General features: G+C 39.9%; 1 protein-coding gene across 2 annotated transcripts in view; it reads left to right on the forward strand.

Annotated features, from left to right (window-relative positions):
- AATF (apoptosis antagonizing transcription factor) overlaps positions 1–24,357 on the forward strand; it is a 107,918-nt gene that overhangs the window by 55,519 nt on the left and 28,042 nt on the right. For both annotated transcript variants that reach the window (NM_012138.4, NM_001411094.1), the window contains exons 9-10: positions 14,533–14,600; positions 16,462–16,542. In NM_012138.4, the coding sequence (NP_036270.1) occupies positions 14,533–14,600; positions 16,462–16,542 (149 nt within the window). The remainder of the gene's footprint in view (positions 1–14,532; positions 14,601–16,461; positions 16,543–24,357) is intronic.

The following is a 24,357-nucleotide window of genomic DNA, read 5'->3' on the forward strand; positions in this document are numbered from 1 at the left end:
ATGTTGATGGAAATGATCCCGTAGAGAGGTAAAAATGGATGTTGCAGGAAAAAGGTAGGAATTGCTGGTCAGTACACAAGTAGGGAGGGGTTGGTGTGATGGATAGAGGGAAGGCAGGACTTATGAGTACAGTTGCAGGGAGGTAAGGGGTGAGAGCATGTGCAGAGTCCTCATGTGAGTGCTTCTATGTTATTTTATGGTATTTCTTATGAATGAAGGAGCCGAGAGTGATAAGATGTAGGAGGATATGGAGGTTTGAGAAAAGAGAGGGTAAGAAAAAGTTACCTCAGAGAGTGAATGGACTAGGAAAGCGTAGCTGCACTGTCAGGTAGCCTAAAAGACCCACAGGTTACTGGTAATATGAAAGTGAGGCCAGTTTGCAAGATCTGGTCTTTCTCTCACTACATTCATCCATGTGGATGCAGGTACTGAGATTTAACATGGCTTGGGGTTTTGCCACCGAAGTACAGGGAAATAATCCCTTGCCAACAATTCCGAGATTAAAAATCTGAAAACTCGTAGTTTTGTTTGTTTTGGTAAGTTTGGCAAACTATTGTGGTGGCAGCACCTGATCTGAATGAACATGAAGCTATTTATAGGCTTTATTTATCACATATATGTGGGAATATATATTTTGCTACAGAAATTTTGTGTTTGACTTTGGGGTGCTGCCCCAGACTCCGCTGACACATTTATGACATATGCAGTGTATTACCTTTCTAAAATATGAAACATTCTGAATTCCAAGATACATCTATCCCTAAGGGACTGTGGGTCTGTACGACAAAAGGATAGCTTGCAGGGGAGTTCAGGGTGTATATCAGGGGTGATTATCCTGATGGATTTTGGAATCTCATTCACCTGGGTAAGGAGAGAAGTAAGCACAGGAGGAGAGGAAGAGGGATGCTGAAAAGGTGGCAGGATTGATGGTTTATTGATTCTGGTGGGGCTGAAGAATTATTGGCATCTGAAGGCTAGAGGGAGAATGCTGGAAATATAGGGAGAGATTTATTTCAGCTGGGCTTTTGGTTCTTAAGGGACATAATCACAGAATACAAGTTAGTACTACCCTTTCAGTTTCCTACTTGTGAATCGTTCTCTAGTTCAGAATGACTTCCTTTTTATTCTTTAAACACAAATGACATATAGTAAAAGAAACCCTGCTAAATAATGCTAAAAAATAGTAACTGAGCTGGTATCTGAGAGGATCTAAAACCCTTCTTCCTGCCTTTATTATAAATGGAGGGGGAGGTACACACCAAGACATCCATCTAGTGACCAATGGGCAGAATTTTTGAAGTGGGAACTCTTGGAAAATCTAAACAGCACCTTCTGTACATTGTTACTTTTAGTATGGATTAGAAAGCATGGCTTGCTGGGTACAGTGGCTCACTCCTGCAATCCCAACACTTTGGGAGGTCAAGGTGGGAAGATTGCTTGAACCCAGGAGCTTGAGACTAACCTGGGCAACATAGTGAGACCCTATCTCTATAAAAAATAAACAGTAAAAAAAGTAACCAGGCATGGTGGCTTGCGCCTGTGGTCCCAGCTACTCAGGAGGCTGAGGTAGGAAGATCACTTGAGCGCAGGACCTCAGGGCTGTACAGTGAACTATGATTGTGCCGCTATACTCCAGCCTGAGTGACAGAGCAAGACCCTGTCTCTAAAAAAAGAAAAAAAAGAGGTTTCCTTAAATTTAAAAAAGAAAAAAAGAGGGCCAGGTGCGGTGGCTCTTCCCTGTAATCCCAGCACTTTGGGAGGCCAAAGCGGGTGGATCAGCTGAGGTCAGGAGTTCGAGACCAGCCTGACCAACATGGTGAAACCTCATCTCTACTAAAAACACAAAATTAACTGGGCTTGGTGGTGCATGCCTGTAATCCCAGCTAGTAGGGAGACTGAGGCAGGAGAATCGCTTGAACCCAGGAGACTGAGATTTCGGTGAGCTGAGATCACACCATTGCACTCCAGCCTGGGCAACAAGAGCAAAACTCCGTCTCAAAAAAAAAGAATTGCATAAGTCAGTCACTTAGTCCTTGTAAAATTCCTTTTATTTGTTGGAAACAGAAAAGCAAATTGGCAAGTTTTTTAGCATTTGAATTGCTTTAATTCTTACTCTGTCTTCACTCATCAGGGCCTAATACTGATAGTGATTTACTTACACTTCTAGTTAATAATTAGACATTGGGAGACACGATATATCATGCCTAATGGAAATATATGGGGTCTGATGAGAAAGTTTTCTGTGTTGACTAATAAATTTTAACCCAATGGCCAAGCTTAGTGAAATATTATGGCCTTTGAAGTATTTTAGGGCTTGTGCTGAGAAAATAGTACTGCTTTATTCAATGAATGAATTTATCATTTCTTCCAAATCATAGGCCTTAGCGCTAGCTCCGGAGTGGAGGCATGCTGCAACGCAGAATCAAAAAGTGGAAAAACTAATCAAATCCTTAAAGACCAAGGGCAGTGAGGCAGAATTAGGCTGACTTTTTCAGTGGTAGCCTCTAGCTATACATTCTCTTATTTGAGTAACCAAAGGTGGACTATTTGTAACTTTAGTATTAAGATGCTTCTTAGACCTTATTTGCATAACCTGATTTCCTTTCATTCTTCCCTGTGTCATTCTGTAAATATTGCACTTCCCCTTGCAAAAGGTGGCTGCTTTTCATGCTTGTTGACAAAATCTAGAAGACTGCTTGCTACTTGACTCTTTGATTTTAGGAATATTATTTTGAAATAGGGTCTCACTCTGTCACCCAGGCTGGACCATAGTGGTGCAGTCATAGCGCACTGCAACCTCACACTGCTGTGTTCAAGCTATCTTTCCACCTCAGCCTCCTAAGTAGCTAGGACTATGGGTGTATGCCACCACACCTGGCTAATTTAATTTTTTTTTTTTTTTTTTTTTTTTTTTAGCGACAGGTTCTCACTGCATTGCCTAGGCTGGTCTCAAACTACTGGCCTCAGGTGATCCCCCTGCCTCAGCCTTCCAAAGCGTTGTGATTACAGGCATCAGCCACTGTGCCCAGCCCTTAGAAATATTATTGAATAATCACTGTATGCAAAGGCAGTGGTGGAGTTCCAGGTATTAGGGGTAAGAGTTTCAGTCAGATGTATCCCCTGCCTGCAAGAAGCTCATAGTCAAGCAAGCAAGATGACATAAACATAAATAACCAGAACGCTTGGTGAGTGTGTATCGAAGAATTCAGAAAAGGGAGAAAAATAATAGTTTCAGGGAATTAGAGAAGGCTCCAGCGAAGAGGACATGGCATTTGATCTGGGCTTTCAAAGAAGGATGGCCAGGATTTTAGATACTCTGAGGTTGGAAGGAGGCCTTCTACATAAAGGAATTGTGTAATCAGGGTATTGTGGGGGAGCTGAAGGTCAGGAAAAGAGAATCGCAGATAGTTCAAACAGAATAAATGATAAAGGAGAGGATGACTTCTGCTCCAGTTTCTCATGATCTAGTTTGGAAAAGTCCTTTAACCCATAGCATACTTTTTAAATGTATGACTTACCATTTTTGCGGGTTTTCTATACTTGTTACATTTTTATCCTTTCACTCTTATTTGTTACACATCTTATTTGTTACCTATGTTTGAAAATCAGTAGAAAGGAAAATTGAATTACTGTACTTGTTGCTTGTTAGCAGCTGTGGCGATTTAGCTGTGGAAGATGATTTATTTTAACCTAAATGGGGTTTAGGGACTATCTATGAGCATGATCTGATGTTCCACAGTATTTCTGTTTATTGAATACTTACGTTTTGCTGAGTGCTTTACTTTTATCATCTTTTTAAGTCCCAAAACAACTTTGTGAGGTATAATTACCACTTTATAAGATGAGGAAACTGAATCTCAGGGAGCTCAAGGAACTTGTCTTAAACTACACAGGTAGTAAAGGGCAGAGCTGGAATTCAAGACAGGTAAGTCAGACTCTTTGGCAGATAGTTACACTTAGATTGAACTGTGCAGTACACACTTCACATAAGTGAAAATTCATACCTAGAAGCATTAGCTCTTAGAGAGTGGGAGATGGAAACCTGTAACTGGTATTTGACAAGCCTATTTCATAGATAAAAGATATTTAAATAGAAAATCCTGTAACTAGGCTGGGCATGGTGGCTTATCCCTGTAATCCCAGCAGTGTGGGGGGCTGACACAGGAAGATCACTTGAGGTCAAGAGTTCAAGACCAGCCACGGCAACATAGAGAGACCCCATCTCTACAAGAACTGGAAAAAATTAGCTGGGCATGCATGCCTGTAGTCCCAGCTGCTCAGAAGGCTAAGGTGGGAGCTCTGGAGGTCAGGGGCACAGTGAGCTATGATCATGCCACTGCACTCCAGTGTGAGCGACAAAGCAAGGGCCTGTCTCTAAAACCACACACACTGTAACTGAAATTAATTCAGACCTTTATTACAAAGATGTCAAGACATCTGTCTTGCAGTAAAAGGACCAACTTAAAGAGACTACAGGAAAGGTTAAGGTTTGTGGGGAGTATAGAGGAAGCACCAAAGATGTGCTTGCTCTCATTTCCTGAGAAGAACCAACTTTTTCCTTTAGGAAATGAGACACAAGAGGGAGTATAGATCTGTATCATTTTAATAGTCAAAGAATGAGTTTAAATAGTTAAATGGCTTTTTTGTTTTGGTTTGGTTTTTGGGTTTTGGTTTTTGAGATGGAGTTTCACTCTTGTTGCCCAGGCTGGAGTGCAGTGGCGCGATCTCGGCTCACTGCAACCTCCACCTCCTGGGTTCAAGTGATTCTTCTGCCTCAGGCTCCCGAGTAGCTGGGATTACAGGCATCTGCCACCATGCCCGGCTAATTTTTTTTTTTTTTTTTTGTATTTTTAGTAAAGATGGGGTTTCACCATGTTGGCCAGGCTGGTCTCAAACTCCTGACCTCAGGTTATCCACCCACTTCGGCCTTCCAAAGTACTAGGATTACAGGTGTGAACCACCGTGCCTGGCCCCAGTTAAATGGTTTTTTTTATTTTAAATTCAAGTACTCTTGGAATGGGGAGGGGAAAAAAGGATAATTCTCATCCGCTTAAAACCATCCAGGCCGGGCGCGGTGGCTCACGCCTGTAATCCCAGCACTTTGGGAGGCCGAGGCGGGTGGATCATGAGGTCAGGAGATCGAGACCATCCTGGCTAACAAGGTGAAACCCCGTCTCTACTAAAAATACAAAAAATTAGCCGGGCGCGGTGGCGGGCGCCTGTAGTCCCAGCTACTGGGGAGGCTGAGGCAGGAGAATGGCGTGAATCCGGGAAGCGGAGCTTGCGGTGAGCCGAGATTGCGCCACTGCAGTCCGCAGTCTGGCCTGGGCGACAGAGCGAGACTCCGTCTCAAAAAAAAAAAAAAAAAAAAAAAAAAACCATGCAGATTTGTTGAATAGACCAGTCTATGTGTTTGTTGTGTAGGTCATCTGGCCTATGTAAGACATGTGAGAAGGAGAATATTGTGTGGGGAAGTCATATCATTGAAAATGGCAATGACAAAGATATGTTCAAAAACAACTGACAAAAAACAGGTAGGTTTCTCTATTCCTAGGTCGATAATGGTGCCCTGGATTAGAGCCAGGTTATTGTATATTGACTCCTTTTGTGTAAAAACACTGAAATGGTATGTGTGTGTGGTGGGGGAAATGATAAAGCAAACACAGATATGGTATTTTCTCTCAGAAATAATTGTTTTCTGGCCGGGCGCGGTGGCTCACGCCTATAATCCCAGCACTTTGGGAGGCTGAGGCGGGCGGATCACGAGGTCAGGAGCTCCAGACCATCCTGGCTAACATGGTGAAACCCTGTCCCTACTAAAAATACAAAAACAAAATTAGCCGGGCGTGGTGGTGGGTGCCTGTAGTCCCAGCTACTTGAGAGGCTGAGGCAGGAGAATGGCGTGAACCCAGAAGGCGGAGCTTGCAGTGAGCCAAGATCGTGCCACTGCACTCCAGCCTGGGCGACAGAGCGAGACTCCATCTCAAAAAAATTATTATTATTATTATTTTCCCCTCTGTGTATATATGGAGCTCCTTCAAGGGGCCCCTGAAGGGGATGGAGTGGTGATTGTGTTCAGATGGAGTCTCTGCTCTCACACAGCATACAGTCAGCAAGGGGAGGAGGTAGACGTTATCAAGGAGTCCATGAGTACAGTGTACAGTAAGAACAGCAAAGGTATGGTGCATGTGTGTGAGTGCAGCTGTGGTTAAGAAAGGTTTCCCTCAGGAAGAGAAGATGAAGTGGAGATTTAACAAATGAGTAGAGGAGGAGGCGTGGGAGGTCAGTGGCTAGGGAAGCCTGTTCCCGCAGTGCATATGCAGAAGCAGCCTCTGGTGTGAGGGCCCACGGAGCATTTCACGTACAGAATGAAGCCTGGTGGGCCTGCAGCACAGAGGCGGAAGGTGGGTTAGGTTGGAGAGGTAGACAAGGGCCCTAGTGGTACCCTGTTAAATGTCCTGACACATTTGCTTTTTGAAAATACTACTCTTGAGTACAATGAGGAGACAAAAATGGAGGGACAAGAGTAAATGAGAGGAAATCATTACACTGCCTCAGGCAAGACCATGTCTGTTTTATTCTTGTTTCTCCAGTGTGCTCAAAAAATATGTATGAGGGCCGGGTGTTGTGGCTTACGCCTGTAATCCCAGCACTTCAGGAGGCCAAGACGAGTGGATTACCTGAGTTCAGGAGTTCGAGACCAGCCTGGCCAACATGGAAAAACCCCGTCTCAACTAAAAATTTATACAAAAATTAGCCCGGCGTGGTGGTGCACGCCTGTAATCCCAGCTACTCGGGAGGCTGAGGCAGGAGAATTGCTTGAAACCGGGAGGTGGAGGTTGCAGTGAGCAGAGATAGCACCACGGCACTCCAGCCTGGGCGACAGAGCAAGACTCTGCCTCAAAAACAAAAAAAAAGTATGGGGTGAATGAAGATGATAGTAGCCTGTACTGGGTGGAGGCAGCGGAGATGGAGAAAAGTGGACAAATTCGTGAATATAAGACTTGAGATAGTTGAGATATTGGGTGTAAGGGAAGAGGAATTTCCAGGGGTAACTCTTAGGTCATTGAAGCCTTGAGAACAGAAGGAAGTTCTTGGGGGAAACCCTGTGGAGTGAGAAGAAAATAAAGATTGGAACTGAGTCGTGAGGAGTGGCAGTATTTAATGGCTGGCTAGAGGGGCTGGCTGAATGTGGAGTAAAGACAGAGAGATGCCTCACTGATACCGAGAAAAGAGTGTTTCAGTGAGGTGAGAAAGTCCAGTGTCAGTTGCTGCTTCAAGAAGTCTAATAGGATGAGTAGTGCTAGATGCCCATTAGACATAGAGATCTTGAGACCTTAGCACAGGTAGTTTGAATAGAATAATGGAAGCAGAAATATTAGGTGGTGGAGTTGTTGGTTCGGGAGTGAATGGGCAATGTGGAGTGGGAACATATAGTTGGGGAATAGGTCATTTTGTGCCAATTTTGTATTATAGGAAGGTATAGTAATTCCTTCCCAACTATTTGAAATTATAGTATATGCAATTTATTTTTTGTATGCCTCAAATATGGTATATAAAAATTGCAAGAGACTTCTTTTGGGGATAATTTTTTTTTTTTTTAAGTTGAGGTCTCTGTTGCTCAGGCTGGAGTGCAATGGCGCAATCTTGGCTCACTGCAACTTCCGTCTCCTGGGTTCAAGCGATTTCTCCTGCCTCAGCCACCCTAGTAGCTGGGATTACAGGCATGCGCCACCATGCCCAGTTAATTTTTTTGTATTTTTACTAGAGACGGGGTTCGCCATCTTGGCCAGGCTGGTCTCGAACTTCTGGCCTCAAGTGATCCGCCTGCCTTGGCCTCCCAGTGCTAGGATTATAGGCGTGAGCCACCACACCCGGCCCTTTTGGGGATAATTTGAAAGACTAGGGAGCTGAGAACCAAAAAAGGAGGTAAGGCAGGAGGTAGAGCAAAAATAGATACATTTTCACTAAGAAGTCTTGTGGGAGAGAGAGGGAATTCACAGGAAGAGTAAACCCAATCCTTTGAGTCTGCTTTTGTATCTCCCAGTGAGGAAGTTTGAGGAACCCTGACTCAGCTAGGCTAAGTAAGTTTGATAGAGGGTTGCCCCAAGCTTTTTCCTTCTCAAGCATCTGTGGCTATGAACTGTGGAAGCCTAAAAAGTAGGAATCAATAACTCTGGGTCACAAATTCAGAAAGCCAAGGAATATGTGGTCATAAAGCCAAAATGCTTTTAAAGTTACTTGGTTTTTCAACAAGGGTGCCAAGACAGCTCAGTGGGGTAAGTAGTCTTTTCAACAAATGGTATAATGGGATATCCACATGTAAAAGAATGAAGTTGGACCCCTACCTTACACTATATATAAAAATTAACTCAAAATGGATCATAGACCTAAATATAAGAGCTACACTATTAATTATAAACCTTTTAGAAGAAAACATAGGAGTAGAGCTTCATGACCTTGGGTTAGGCAATGGTTTCTTAGATACAAATCAAAAACACAAATGACAAAAGAAAAAATTGGACTGTATCAAAATTAAAAACTTTCCTGCCTCAAATGACACTCTCAAGAAAGCAAAAAGACATTACAGAAGGAAAATGAATAAGGGACTGGTATCCAGAATATATAAAGAACTCTTACAGCTCAATAACAAAAAGACAAATAACCTCATTTTAAAATGGGCAAAGGGTCTGAATAGACATTTCTCCAGTGAAGATATACAAATGGCCAGTAAGCACAGGAAGATGCTCTGCATCATTAGCCATTAGGGAAATGCAAATCAAAGCTGCAATGAGAATGTATCATACCTGCTAGTATGGCTGTCAGTCAGTGTTTACATTATTATTACTAAGTAAATGTTGTTCTCAAGTGTCTTAGTCTGTTCTGCATTGCTATGAAGGAATACCTGAGAATGGGTAATTTTTGAGGAAGAAAGGTTTCTTTGGTTCACTCTTCTGCTGCTGGGAATTTTGGGCTTCTAGTGGAAGCCTCAGGCTGCTTCTGTTCATGAAGGAAGGCGGAGGGGAGCTGGCATGTGCAGAGATCACGTGGCAAGAGAGGAGGCTAGAGGACTGAGGCATGCCAGGCTCTTTTCAACAGCCAGCTCCTGGGCTCTAATAGAGCGGGAACTCACTCCCCACAACCAAGGGAGGACTTCATCTATGCATGAGGGATCTACCTCCATGGCCCAGACACTTTCCATTAGGCCCCTCCAACATTGAGAGCAAATTTCAGCATGAGGTTTGGAGGGGACAAACATCCCAACTATAGGAACAAGCGCTATATTATGATTACATTTTTCTTACAAATTTGTTTTTTCCTAGAGCTAATAATGCCTGTTTTTAAAAGATTTGCCTAGTTTTCTGTGTAACTATTGCTGTTTTTCCCTATATACTCCACATGCCTTGAATATATAAAATAACCTATCCTTTTGCACCTCCCTTCTACTTTTTCCCCTTGGAGACCTCATCCTAGAGCTCTCTGGACTCTTCTGGCGTGGCTGCACACCAGGCCTGCTGGCTGTATTCCTGGGACTTGCCTTTGCTTCTTCCCTGAGTTAGACCTCTCGTTTCTAATATCTTATGTCTTGATTTTAGTATACTCATTTACTGAAGTACATCTTTCTGTGAAAGAGTACACAGAAAGTAAATTGTTGAGTCCTTACGTGTATGAAAAATGCATTTATGTAACTCTCATTATACTTGGTTAATAATTTGGCTGAGGAGGCAGAGGCTGCAATGCGCTGAGATTGCACCACTGCACTCCAGCCTGGGTGACAGAGCAAGACTGTCTTAGTAATAATAATAATAATAATAATAATAATAATAATAAGGCTGTATATGGAATTTGAGTCTGGAAGTCATTTTCCATAGAATTTTGAAGGTACCTTGCTGTCCTCTGCTATCTGCTCTTGCTATTGAGACGTCTTTTCCCATTCAGATTTCCATTCTTTAATATGTAGGGCGACTGTATAATTTATTATCAAAACTGGGACAGGTAAAGTGCTAGTCTGACAGCATATTAGGACAACAGGTGTAAACCAGGACTTTCTTGGTAAACTGGGACATATGATCACCTCTTTATATGTAACCTGTTTTTTCTTTAACTGCTTAGGATCTTCTCTTTACCTCTGGTGTTCTACATTTCATGATGATGTGTCTTGACAGAGGCCCTTTTTTATTCATTGCACTAGGTCTTTGCAGTTGTATTCCTGTTCTTTCTTTGATTTGGGAAAATTTTCAGTATTCCTTCAAACATTTTCTCCCAGCCTTTGTTAGTTAGATGTTTGACTTTCTGGATTATCCTCTAAATTTTTGTCTTGTCTTGCAAATAAGCAAGGGGATATTATCTTTTTGCCTTTTGGCTTTCTTTTTGTTTTATATCAGAGATTTTCATTCATTTAAGTTCTTCTGTTGGATTTTTTAAAATTTTCTGTTTAGTGTTTAATTTCTCATTTTAGTCTTTTTCACAGCATCCTGCTCTTATCAAAGTATACCCTCTCCCACTCTTGGGATATTCATTGTAAGTTTTGGGGGTTTTTTTCTCCTTTTTAATTATTTATTTTGTTCTCTGCATTGCTTCCTTGAGTCTCTTTTCTATTTGTTTGGTTTGTGCATGAGGATTTCCTCAGATGCAGGCGATCCTTAACTGTCTGTTCATATTTAAGAGTAAAGCATTAAAGTTTATTATTCGGAATCTCTGAAACCTGGGCAGAGCTTTTTGGCTTCTTTAAATATAATTATGCTGTGAACTGACCTCTTTGTTAGAGTAGCCTTGGATGTCAGAATTTGTATTTGTTTGCTTTGTTTTCTATATATCTATTTGTTTGTGCTGCTATAGTAAAATACCACAGACTAGGTAATCTTAAAAGAACAGAAATTTATTTCTCACAGTTCTGGAGGTTGTAAAGTCCAAGAACAAGAAGGTGGCAGTTTCTGTTGTCTGGAGAGGGCTGCTGTCTGCTTCCAAGATGGTGCCTTGATGCTGAATTCTTCTGAGGGAATTCACATGGCAGAAGGTGGAAAGGCAAAAGGGACAGACTCCCTCCATCATGCCCTTTTAGAGGGACGCCTAATCCCATCCACGAGGGCAGAGCCTGCATGACTCAGTCACCTCCCAAAGGCCATTCCTTCCAATACTGTTGCATTGGGGATTAAGTGTTCAACATACGGATTTTGGGAGACACATGCAGAAGACCATAGCAACTTTGAAATCTAATTTTGGGGGTGGGAGGGCAGACACCATTCAGTTTCTTCCAGAAAAGGCTCCTCTGCTTTCCTGCCTAGGAAATTATAGAATGGGATGTTAGCTTTCTACAAATGAGGTGGGAGAAAGGGAGAGGTTTCAGAGATTAACATAGAGCCTTTCCCTTGTACCTCATTCCAGCCTTCTTTGCCTGGTATCCTCTATTCTGGAGCTTCTGTGGTTCAATATTTCCAAAGAATAAAATTTCTTTTCTCTCACGAGAGGAGGTGGGTGGTAGAGGTGGTTAGTCACTTGGCTGTGTGGGATAATGGAGGAGGCCCAAGTGGTTCTGCTCCTTCTCTTTTTCCCACCTTGCGTGGTAACTGCCAGAGAGCTGATCCTCACAGGAATTCTGCGGCCTAATACAATTAGCTTCATCTTCACCTTTATTCACTCTGGGCATTTGGGTGATAACTTCTCCATCTCCTTACTGTCTTGGAAAAATTTATGAAAATATGCACACATTAGTGCTCCTTTTCTCTTTTTTCTTAGGAGTTAATATTTATTTTATTCCTCAACTGTCTCTTAGAGGGGTTGAGAAGAGATAAACTAATGTGTTCAATCTGCCATTTTTAACTGTTTCTAGCATGCATTTTTTCTAATGAAAGTATTATAAATGTTGATTAGATGCTTAATAGTACTATTAGTCCTGTTCCTCATGTATATTGGTATGGGTTAAATAGGTTTCTGTGGCCAACCTGAAAACCTAACTGTATCTATGATTTTCCCTTAGAACTAGAGGTATAATCAAGCCTTTCCGAATTGATTATCTGGAGGAATTTTAACAGACTAGAGCAAAAACATTTTCTCTCTCTCCATTTTCCAAATCACATAGAAAATTACTACAAATACTATATCATCATTGTTGAAATAAAAAGCTCTAATAATTGTAACAGAAACTTGAATTTTAGTAGAAAGGTTTATTTGTAAAGTTAAAGCTATACAAATTAAAATCAGAAGTAAAATTGAATTCTTCAGCCAATATCTCAAATCTCTTTTTTTTTTTTTAGCAACTGTTTTGAAAGCAATTTTCTAATTAAATTTAAACCCAGTGATAGTGGTAGCTTTGGGAAAATAGTAATAGCCACGGGAATCATTTGTTTAACTGTATTTTTTGTTGTTGTTGCTTTCTTTTTCTTACCATGGACACAACAGAATCTTCTGAAATATTGGACTGAATAAACTAGACCTAGCTAGATAGACCAATAAAACAATCTTCCAAGTCATGAATGAGTAAAAATAGTTATGCAAAGCACTTGTGTGCGAAAATGCAGCTCAGAATATGTATAGTACACAAAGTGTTTGAAAGTAAATGCTGCACCAACTTGGTGTTGGAATTGCAGAGACCACTGCAGTGGGGAGCTCCAATTTCCAGCCTTTGGCAAGGGCATATTCTTCCCGAGGATCACCCTGTTGTGCTGGGGCAGCCTTCCATGAGCACTTGCACCCCGGTGACCCTGATTGCCCAGTCTCAAGGGATCTGAGAAAATTAGGAAAACCAGGAACGGTTGTTGTAATCTTTTGTATGGCTGGAACGAGGTAAGGGCAATGAAATGCAGTTATTCCATTATTTTCCTTCCTTTTTATTTTTCTTTCTCTTTTATTTCTTCTTCTTTATTATTATTAACCACTCCCCCTCACTCCCCCTACTCCTTGCTTTTGACAGAATATTGACTAGGAACCAGAAGCCCATTTCTGCTTAGCCTTAAGGGCAGCTGTTTACACAGCAGCAGTGTTACATAGGTTTACTGTGTCATATGTCTGTGTAACACTGGATTTGGATCTTGTATTTAGCTGCCAGAAGTGACTGTGATGAAGTAGGAGAGATAAACTGATAGATTGGCTGCCAGAAAGATGTTGGGAATCAATCAGATAAACAGGGTAGAGAAATAGCTTGCTGTTTTCTAGTGATAATAAAACCAGCGGCTTCTGGTCCCTGCATTCTTAAACATAATTGCTGTAGTAATAATGTCCAAAATAAGCAAATGAAAAAACATCATGGGAGGTTTTCTAATTGCAATTGAGATATCCTTTTCCCTTTTGCAATAAAGATTCATCTTTTGGAAGTGAATATTTTTTATAAATTTGTTTTACTTCTTCCAGTGCCTACTTACATAAACATATGAAATTAGAAAGAGATCTGCTTTCAGAGGAATTTATTTCTCTTTCTTCATTTGAACCACTGAAGCCCACAGGCTTCAGCTATTTGATTTGATGAAATATCTCTATTGCCACCATGCCTCACCTACAAAATCATTGCTAATTTTTATGAAGAAACAAGTTTTAAGGCCAAACCTGGATTATTGACAGATGATTAGCAGAACTAGTTTATCTTAGCGTCTTCTCTTAAATTTCTCTCAGAAGATTTTTGGAATTTTAATCTCTGTTTCTCTTTCTCTGCATATAGCACTTATAGTTCTATTATCGTAATTCAGGGTTTTTCTCCCTTAGTGTTTAACTTTTAAAACCATTGCTTCTCTTCGCCCAAGGACTTTAAGATTCAGTGCAGATTCTTAAGTCTGTATGAAAGGTACAGATGTAGATTTCAACTGGGTGCAGAGGAGTCAGGCTTAAAATGACAGTAGGAGAGTCATTTAGAATAACTCCCATGGAGTTAATTGTATTGGATGAGAGACTAATCCTCTGTGGTATATTTGCAGTATGCAAATGACTTTCTTTAGATTCCCTCTTAAAATTTGTGTGGCTATGAATGTGTTGGTATCATGTGTGGCTAAAGCACTTAATAGCAAGCATGGTAGAGTAGCAGCTGTGGAAAACAAGAGGCCGATGCCCACACTTTTAATTACATACAGTAAAGGCTTTTTGCCTGAGGAAGACCTTCCTGACTGTTGGAGGTTATAGTTCAGAAGTTAACCTTGCACCATTATCCTGTTGGTGAGAAGCTGATGCATTTCCCTTTTTGCCACACGGCCCTTCCCACCTGACCTTTTAAAGATTCTCCATTGATATCAATGGAGTGGACAAAACTAATCATAAAAATAATGAAGGGAATGTTGCATACTCATTGATCTATTTGAAATGAACTGCGGTACAATAAGTCTTCCAAATGGACTTCTGTTCTCAGCTACTGCTATAGCCACCTTTTTAAAGATATATAACTATGAAAGCGTTAACGGGAATTCAGTAATGCTCTTGCCACTGGGTTGTCCCTTATTGATTGTAGTTTTAGAGCTGTCACTATGCCATTCAGAATTCCTTCTCTGCCCTTTTAAAGTCAGTTGTACTGGAAGATGATAAATAAATTCGTTGCTTTCCTTTTTCCCCTAGCTCCTTCGAGAACTCATAGAACGGAAGACCAGCTCCTTGGATCCCAACGATCAGGTGGCCATGGGAAGGTAATTTAGATACAGCTTTCTGTTCATGCAAGCAGCCTATGTAATAGTTTCTCCCCTTGAGTCCCTTTAATTCTACCTGCAAAGCAATGATTGGTCCTATAATTATTGAAGTTAAGCAAGTAAGAGCTAGAAAGAAAATGTGACTAATTGTTTACCCTACATTGCCTAAAGTGCAATTTGTAAAGAAATTATAAAACACCTATGTGTTTGTTTTTAGAGTTTGTTTTCCAAAGTCTTTCTTATGCTCTTTGCTCCCTGGTTTTGCATTGTGATTGTATCCATATCAATCTGTTGACCAGTGGATACAAAGCAGCCATCCAAATGTGAGCTCTCAGCTGTCAGAACATGGCACTGCGCACAACAGGTTCTTTGCTCTCAGTCGAATCTGCTTTGTTAGAGTCTGCCCTAATTTAGACCTCCACCTCTTCAGTAAAAGCTTCAGCACAATTAGAAGTGGAACGTGGCAGCATTACCCAGATGTCAGGGCAGAATGTAAAGTAGTGAAGGAAGGCCCTTGTGTGTATGCTTCATCCTGTGGTTGGAAAATAAAAAGGGCATTTAGAATGCTACCTAATGAATAGTGTACATTTAAATAGCCATGAGCCATAATTTGCAAAAGCATGAAAGGAAACAAAAGCTGCAAGTGCCAGAATGGGATTCTAGGCAGAGCAGCCATTCGAGAAAGCAGTGAAAAATTTGTGTTGATGAAATAATTTTATTTAAGTAAAATATTATGTGAATTTTAGGGTAGGATGTTGATATTTCGTTTATCTCTGGAATGTTATAGAGAGCTGTTCGCTATAAATTTAATGTGATAGAGCAAATTGCATTTAAGTGGTGATTATATTGTACATTTATCTGACTTTACAATAAAATAGATTATGGTAATTAAGATTATATTAAGATTACAGTAATTGGATTTCCCTAGATTTTTTTTTTCTGGTGTTGAATTTTCGTTGTATAAATCAGGTAGGATGACTAGCTGCTGCTGCTGTTTCTCCTTCTTTTTCTTTTTTTCACTTTAGTTCATATGAGCAATTTATGAAGATTTTCTTAGCCTAATATCCCTTATTGAAAAATTAATTCCTTCTTATCTAAAATGACTGCAGAATATGTGAATCTTGTTTGGATTCTGATCCAAACAAGCCAACTGTAAAATTGAGACATTCCAGGAAATGTGAAGACTGACTGAATATTTGATAATAAAGAATTATTGTTGACTTTTTTTTTTAGATGTGGTAATGGTATTGAGATTATATTGAGGGGAGAAGAGTCCTTATCGCTTCTCTTGTATAGCAACACGTACTGAAATATTTATAGATGAAATGAAAATTAACAATTTAAACAATTTAAACAATTTAAAACAATTAAAAACTAGTATCAGTAGTGGATAATTATTTAAAAATTAGCAAAAATTGGAAAGCACAAGAAAAAGCACTGGAGGATTACCAAAGGGAAAGTTAGATTTTAAAAATTCATGCATTCAAACCAACCAGCAGTTGCAACATTAGTAACAGAACATGCTGCATAGCTAAAACATTAAAAGAAAACCCAAGTAGCTCTACTAAATCTGATGGGTTTGCCTGCAGACTGGTAGATTTAGTGCTTGTCACAGCAACTCCAAATACTAAGGAGCATTGTGAACCAAATTTGCTGTAGAATTTCCCAGCTGCCGTTTGTTTTTTTACCATTGCACAAATCCTGTTCAATTGATTAGTCAGTTTGGCCCCAAACTAGCTTGAGGAACTTGATGTAGGTTGATGATTTCTTTCTGCAGGGTTGTTAGAATAATTCCAATTTGTCAATATGTATAACTATTTCTGTTAGTGATGATGCATAACATTGCTTGTGAATTTTCCAGGCAGTGGCTTGCAATCCAGAAGTTACGAAGCAAAATCCACAAAAAAGTAGATAGGAAAGCCAGCAAAGGCAGGAAACTTCGGTGAGTTACTTTTCGGAAAAAATGTCAACATATATTGTATATGTATCTCGTCTCTTACATTCTGGCTGTTATGTCATTTTTCTTTTTCTTCTGATGATTCTGTTTTTAAGGATCAGAAAAATAAACAATATTTGAAGGTTTATTGCAACTCAGTTTTTCTTATTCTAAAATGGAAATATAGTTTCATTGACTTTTGTGCTACTGTTGTAATAGATGGGTGAAATAATATATGCATTCCCTTGAAAGAGAAAAAATAAGAAAACAAAAGTAAAATAGTTGAAATTATATTAACTTTAACAATTAATTTCTATAGAATAATATAAAAATGTTATGGCCAGGCGTGGTGGCTCACGCCTGTACTCCCAGTGCTTTGGGAGGCCGAGGTGGGCAGATCACTTGAGGTCAGGAGATCAAGACCATCCTGGCCAACGTGGTGAAACCCCATCTCTACTAAAAATACAAAAATTAGCTGGGTGTGGTGGCGGGTGCCTATAGTCCCAGCTACTCAAGAGGCTGAGGCAGTAGAATCACTTGAACCCGGGAGGCGGAGGCTGCAGTGAGCCAAGATCATGCCACTGCACTCCAGCCTGAGTGACAGAGCGAGATTCTATCTAAAAAATAATAATAATAAATACAAAAAATTAGCCGGGCGTAGTGGCGGGCGCCTGTAGTCCCAGCTACTCGGGAGGCTGAGGCAGGAGAATGGCGTGAACCCGGGAGGCGGAGCTTGCAGTGAGCCGAGATCGCGCCACTGCACTCCAGCCTGGGCGACAGAGCGAGACTCCGTCTCAAAAAAAAAAAAAAAAATAATAATAATAATAATAATAAATATAAAAATGTTATTGTCTTATTGGTCCATTTTTATGATGCCATATGTGCACACAGTATGCTAAAAAGATATAAGTGAAGGACCACAGGGAATGTTAACAAAGTTATTAAATGAGAAGAGAAATAAAATGTTTATGAGAAAATAGAGCAATTTCTGACTTTAGGAAAATCCTCCCCTGTGAGCTCTTTAAGGAGTTTTATAAGGGTACAGATAAAAGAAGGAGCAAGAGTGGAAATTGACCTCGCTATACTTTTAGACTTGGTAACTGCCGTGTGTGTGTGTGTGTGTGTGTGTGTGTGTGTGTGTGTGAGAAACACAGTGTCATCACACAAAGCCTCAGTGTCAAACTACCTGTAATTCAGGTGCACACTGAGAGAAAATCTTAAACTTGTGTTAGGATAGTTTTAGGCAGGTAGTTAAACCCACATCCTTATTAGAACCTGCCTATCATTAAATTCCCTTTAGACAAATGTGGGTCTATCTGATTTTTAAAGATCTTCAGAGAAGTAGATTTCTCAATTACTTTAATGAACTTGTTTTAGTATTTAACACAACTCATCAGGAAATGCTGATTTTTCTTTAACTTTGCAGAAGTACACAGTATCAACAGCTTTGCAAAGTATCGTCCTTTGATTTAGGGTCGCTTTTTTAAAATCTCAGGTTAAATTGTTATAATTTCTTTACCTCTTTTTATGTCTTGAAATTTCCGAATCTTCATAATTCTCTAGGTTCATTTTTAGAGGTGAAGAGCATGGACTTAAGACCCAGACTGCCTGAGTTTGAATCCCAGCTTTGACATTGATTAGTAGTTACTTTGGGCAAGACCCTTAAACTCTGTGCTAGTTTCTTCATCTGTAAAATGGATATGATAATATATCAGCCTTGAATGGTTGCTGTGACGATTAAATGAATAGGGTGTGTATGGCTCTTAGAATAGTGCCAGGTACATAGTTAAGCACTGTACAAGTGTTTGTTGCCATTATTACTGTCATTATTATTGCTATCAGTATTCCAAGGTTGGGTCAGTCTCTTTTCCTAGTGTTCATTTATTTGTTTACTGACACGTCTCTTCCGTACCTGTCTCCCCCCAGCCCCCTTCAAGGATTTAAAGAAAAATGTTACTAATAGTACTTCATAGGTGACTAGGCTGAATGATTATCTTATTTTTTATTTTTGGGATCAAATTTTTCTCCAATACTGTACTTTTAAAATTGTAATTTTATGAGGACATAAATGTTCTCTAGAAGGAAGAGCTTAGGATTTCAAATCACAAGACTTGCGTTCAAACCCTGACTCTGTCTGGTGATATGATTTTGGTTGTTCTTTATTCTCTGGGCCTCACTTTTCTCATTTACTAAGTGGAGGTAATAATCCCTGCTTTGGGGATTTGGTATGGGAATTAAATGAAATCATGTGTAAATATCTGGTACATAGTAGGCATTCAAAAATGTTCAATATATCAGTTTGAAAAGAAAAAACCAGGATTTTGTTTTAATAGCAACTGCTTTTTATATTAATGAATTCAACTAGCTTCATTAAACTGTTCATTACAGGTATGTGTCAATGCAATTAGATACCTTTGCTTTTGCAGCATTTTGATAGCAGTGGAGATCCCCACATTCTCATATCCAGAGGCAGTAAAATCTTATTCTTTTTAAACAGAGTTTAAAAAGAGGCATTCTTTTTAAACAGAGTTTAAAAAGAGGCATTCTTTTTAAACAGAGTTTAAAAAGAGGCATTCTTTTTAAACAGAGTTTAAAAAGAGGCATTCTTTTTAAACAGAGTTTAAAAAGAGGCATTCTTTTTAAACAGAGTTTAAAAAGAGGCATTCTTTTTAAACAGAGTTAAACATGAAAACATAGTAAGTGGTTTTAGTGTCCTTCACCTTCTAAGAAGATGGTCATTAGGTGGTAGTTAAGACCCAGTCTGCCCTCAGGGAGCATACACAGTCATTTGTGCTATCTGTGGAGGATTGGTTCCAGGACGCACAAACAGCCCCACACCCCCACCCCTGCAGAAACCAAAATCCACAATGCTCAAGTTCCTTATATAAAGTGGCATAGTATTTGCATATAACCTACACACATCCTCCCTATACTTTAAATCATCTCTAGATTACTTATAATACCTAGTTCAATATGAACGCCATGTAAATAATTATTACACTACACTGTTTAGAATAATAAGAAAAAAAATTGGGACATATTCAATATAGACACAATCATTTATGTCTTAAGTATTTTTGATCCATGGTTGATTAAATCTGTGGATGCTGAACCCACAGCATCAGAGAGCCAACTAGTCTGGAGAGGATGGCAGACCCTAGCCGACTGAGGTGCTGTGTGGGAGGTGTAGCAGTAGAAATAATCCTGCTCCACCCTTGAGGGATGCAGACTGCTCAGGAAGACTTGCACAAGACGACTTCCTCACTGAGCCTTGAGAGATTAGTAGGCGTTTGCCCAGTGAAAGACAAAGAGAATGTGTACAAAAAGGTTTGTAAGCTTGAGAGAGTCTGGGACCCATTTTGGGAACTGTAATTAATTTGTTTTGGCAGAGACTTTTGTAGCAAACTGGAATTTGAACTAATTGGTCTGATTCCAGAGCCTGTTCTTTTAACCTCTGGCTGTTGAGTTGTTTCACTGGCCAACTGGCCTATACCAGCACCAAAAGTGAATATGAGAGAATGGCAGGAGATAAGGCTGCATGCATGGGTGAGTGCTAGATCATGACCACGTTAAGAATTTTGGACTTTATTCTGTAGACTGTAGTGAGTCATTGAAAGATTTTAGGCAGAGGAATATTGTCATCACATGCACATTTCAGAAAGATAATTGGCTGGGCACAGTGGCTCACACCTGTAATCCCAGCACTTTGGGAGGCTGAGGCAGGTGGATGGCTTGAGGTCAGAAGTTTGAGACAAGCCTGGCCAACATGGTGAAACCCCGTCTCTACTAAAAATACAAAAATTAGCCAGGTATGGTAGCATGTGCCTGTAGTCCCAGCTACTCGGGAGGCTGAGGCGGGAGAATCGTTTGAACCAGAGAGGCAGAGGTTTCAGTGAGCGGAGATCATGCCACTGCACTCCAGCCTGAGTCACAGAGCGAGACCCTGTCTCAAAAAAAAAAAGATAATTGTAGGAGATTTTCTATAAAGGACTAGAAAGTTATGAGAGCAAGGCCTGGAAGGAATAGGAGATGACGGATTGAGAGACATTTATACAGGTGAGTAGTTCTTACTTAAGAGTGGCCACACATGAAGAGGTAAAGGAAAGTGAGAAGGTTGGAATGACTCCCAGAGTTTCAGGGAACTAGATAGGTCTTGGTAGTAATCATTGATATGTATAAGAGAGAGGCTGCAAGGAGAACATCTTTTTTGTTGTTGTTTTTTGAGGGAGGGAGTGGATTCAGTTTCTGAATATGTTGAAGTTTGACACAACCTTCAGAAATCCAAGTTGAGATATTTTTCAGTCGAGAGGAGGATGTGGGTATTTATTAGTTGATAGTTTGGCAACAGTTTAATTGCTGTTTACCCAGGGAGGGTACGGTGTGACAAGAATACAGAGTGACAAGAGTAGAATCCTGAAGAATGTCAACATACGTGAGCTAGAGTAAGAGGAGCCCATAAAGAATGCTGAGGAACAGTGGCCATTGACGGGGGAGGGCAGGAGGAGGTTACGACAGCGATGAATACAGGACAGTGTTTAGTAAGGGGTCAGGAGCGCCTGGTGCCTCAGAGAAATCACAAAAGGGCAGCATCGTTTCATTTGTGATCACATTTCTTCACATGAAATGCCTTTGGTTACTGAAGAGTTCCAGAAACTGCAAACTAAAACTTTCCATACTTGAAAGGCCTCTAGAATTTCTGTGTAAACTTTTACTATCTTGATTAGTTTGTTTCATAAAAGCCTTTTGGAATCCAGTTGTAAAGGGAATGAGAGAAATAGAAAACCACCACTAGGGAAGCCCCACAGTAATAATTTTTGCAGGCAAGGTCCACAATAGATGCTAAAATCAATGGGCAAAAATTTGAGGAGAAACTGTATTTATTTGGTCTCTAAGTATCTCCCCCAAGATATTTGTCCATTACAAAGAGAAACATAGTGGCTTTGCAATAATCTAGCAGATGCCACCTTAACCAAGTGTTCAAGATGAACAGCACCAGTAAAAAGACATATCTATACCCCCTGTGTCTTCAGTAGAAAGATACAACATCATTTCTGTGGTATTCTTGCAAAAAAATGCCTAACCTTAATCTCATCATAAAACAGCATACAAATCCACATTGTGAGACACTCTACCAAATAAATGACCAGTACTCATCAAGTGTCAAAGTAATGATAAAACAAGGACTGAGGAACTGTCACAGATTGCAGGAGACTAAGGAGACATCACAGCAAGGTGTAATGTGGGGTCTTAGAAGCCCAAAATTATTACAGAACAAAAAGTTTTTAATGTAAGTTCATGTGTGTTGAATTGGTTTTGGTTTTGTCATCTGTACTCACCTGGCTCATCTTGAGACCATAAATGTGAGGATGTGGTCAGAATCAGAGAGTAGTCTTTACTCATAGCAATAGCGTAAGAACTAACATCTCCAGAAATCCCAGGTCAGGCACTGCTAATCAGTTTACATGCGGAGGCAGAAAGAGCATAAGCTCTGGAGCCAAACTGCCTAGGTTTGAAAGCTGACTTTTCCATTTCCCGGCCTTGAGACTTTGAACAAATTACTTTACATCTCTGTGCTTCAATTTCCTCATCTGTGAAAGGAGTATAATCATAGAAGTGACAATTTTATAGGGTGGTTATGCAGACTAAATGAGCTAATTCATGTGATGTAACATCCCCAGTGTTACATAGTAAGTAGCAAACTGGGATTTGAACTAATTGGTCTGATTCCAGAGCCTGTTCTTCTAATCTCTGGATCTTGAGTTGTTTCACTGGCAGGACCAACCCTATACAGGCACCAGAATGACATCTTGGCCACCTTAGCATCCTTTCCTAAGGGGTTAAACCAAGTGGCCCCCCAGGCTAGATGAGAATATTATAAACAACTTTCTTGAGTTAAACTTCAAGAACAGACAGTGTATGCCAGCTGTCATCACTGATACTAGGTCCCACCATTGAGCAATTTTTGCTCCTTGTTTGTGATAGGGTTGTATATGTAAGACTTCCAGAAATGTTGTAGCAAAGATTAACATTACCTTCTGGAAACAGTTTAAATAATAACACTTCATTAGTTTAAATGGTACAGCCTGGTCAGACTTGCTAATTGGATGCTAGAAAATAACGTTTTTTAAAAAAACAAATATTTTGGTTTTTGGAAATACAGTAATTATAATTATTGATTGTCAGTATTCTACTCAGCATTACATATAAGTGGATTTAGTTATGATTTAATCAGAAATCATAATGTAAATGGATCAAACTCCCAAGCCTTTAATAATATGACGTCTTACTGTGTTGGTCTGTTCTTCCACAACAAAATAATATTTGTCTTTTCTTAGTATGGTTGGTAAAAGATGATTTAATATTAAAACATACACCCATTTGCAGTGGCACCGAGACTAGATGCTAAGTACAGATTACTAAATGGTCTTTAATCTGATTTCTTCCTAAAGCCTGTATTTCATCATGTAGTTAATAGTTATTAACTATATTGTATTAAATGTAAAGATATTCTACAGAGCAGTACCATCTAATAAAAATATTAATATGTATTATATATGCAATTTTAAATGTTCTAGTAGCGACATTGAAAAAGTAAAAAGAAAAAGATGAACTTAATTTTAGTGACATTTCATTTAACCCAATATATAAAAATATTATTTCAACAATTTACTATTTTAAGAATTATTAGTGATATGTATTTTTTTTGTCCCAAGTCTTCAGAATCTCGTTTGTATATTATACTTAATTACAGTACATCTCAATTCAGACTAGCCCCATTTCAAATGCACAGTAACCACGTGTGGCTAGTAGCTACTGTATTGCATAACACAACTGTAGGGTACAGTTCATAGTCTTTGTCCAGAAAGTGAATTAAAGCCGTCTCTGGACACAGCCAAGAATAGTAATCATACTTTCAGATGGACACTGAAGTTTAGTGAGGCCTAAGGACATTAAAAGATATATTTAATTAACAGTATTTTTGGTTTATATTTAAATAAAAAGGTTATATAAATATTTATGCTCATACATTGACATAACTTTTGGGAAGGCATTTTGACTCAGTCAAGTTTACATATACATACCTTTCAACTCAGCAATTTCACATCTAAGAGTTATGTATTGGCCAGGCTCAGTGGCTTATGCTTGTAATTCCAGCACTTTGGGAGACTGAGGTGGGAGGATCACTTGAATTTAGGAATTTGAGACCAGCCTGGACAACATAGCAAGACCCTCTCTCTACCAAAAAAAAAAATTTAAAAATTAGCCAGGCATGGTGGCGCACACCTCTAGTCCCAGCTCCTTGGTGGTGGTCGGGGCTGGGAGGCAGAGGTGGGGGGATGGCTTGAGCCTGGGAGGTCAAGGCTGTAGTGAGCCGTGATCGCACACTGCACTCCAGCCTGAGCAACAAAGCAAGACCCTATCTCAAAAAAACAAAACATCACCAACAAAAAAACAAGGATACATAGAGGCCTTTTTTATAAAAAGTGAAGAATTAGACTGGGCATGGTGGCTCACGCCTGTAATCCGAGCACTTTTGGAGGCCAACACAGGTGGATCACTCAAGTCCAGGAGTTCTAGACCAGCCTGGGCAACATAGTGAAACCCCATCTCTACTAAAAATACACATATTAGCTGGGCATGGTGGTACACTCCTGTAGTTCCAGCTACTCAGGAGGCTGAGGTGAGAGGATGGCCTGAACCTGCGAGTCAGAGGTTGCAGTGAGCCGAGATAGCACCACTCCATTCCAGCCTGGGTGACAGTGAGACCCTGTCTCAACAACAACAACAGCAACAAAAAGTGAAGAATTAGAAGCAATGTAT

Source organism: Homo sapiens, chromosome 17 (assembly GCF_000001405.40).
Source record: "Homo sapiens chromosome 17, GRCh38.p14 Primary Assembly".
Taxonomy (NCBI): Eukaryota; Metazoa; Chordata; class Mammalia; order Primates; family Hominidae; genus Homo; species Homo sapiens.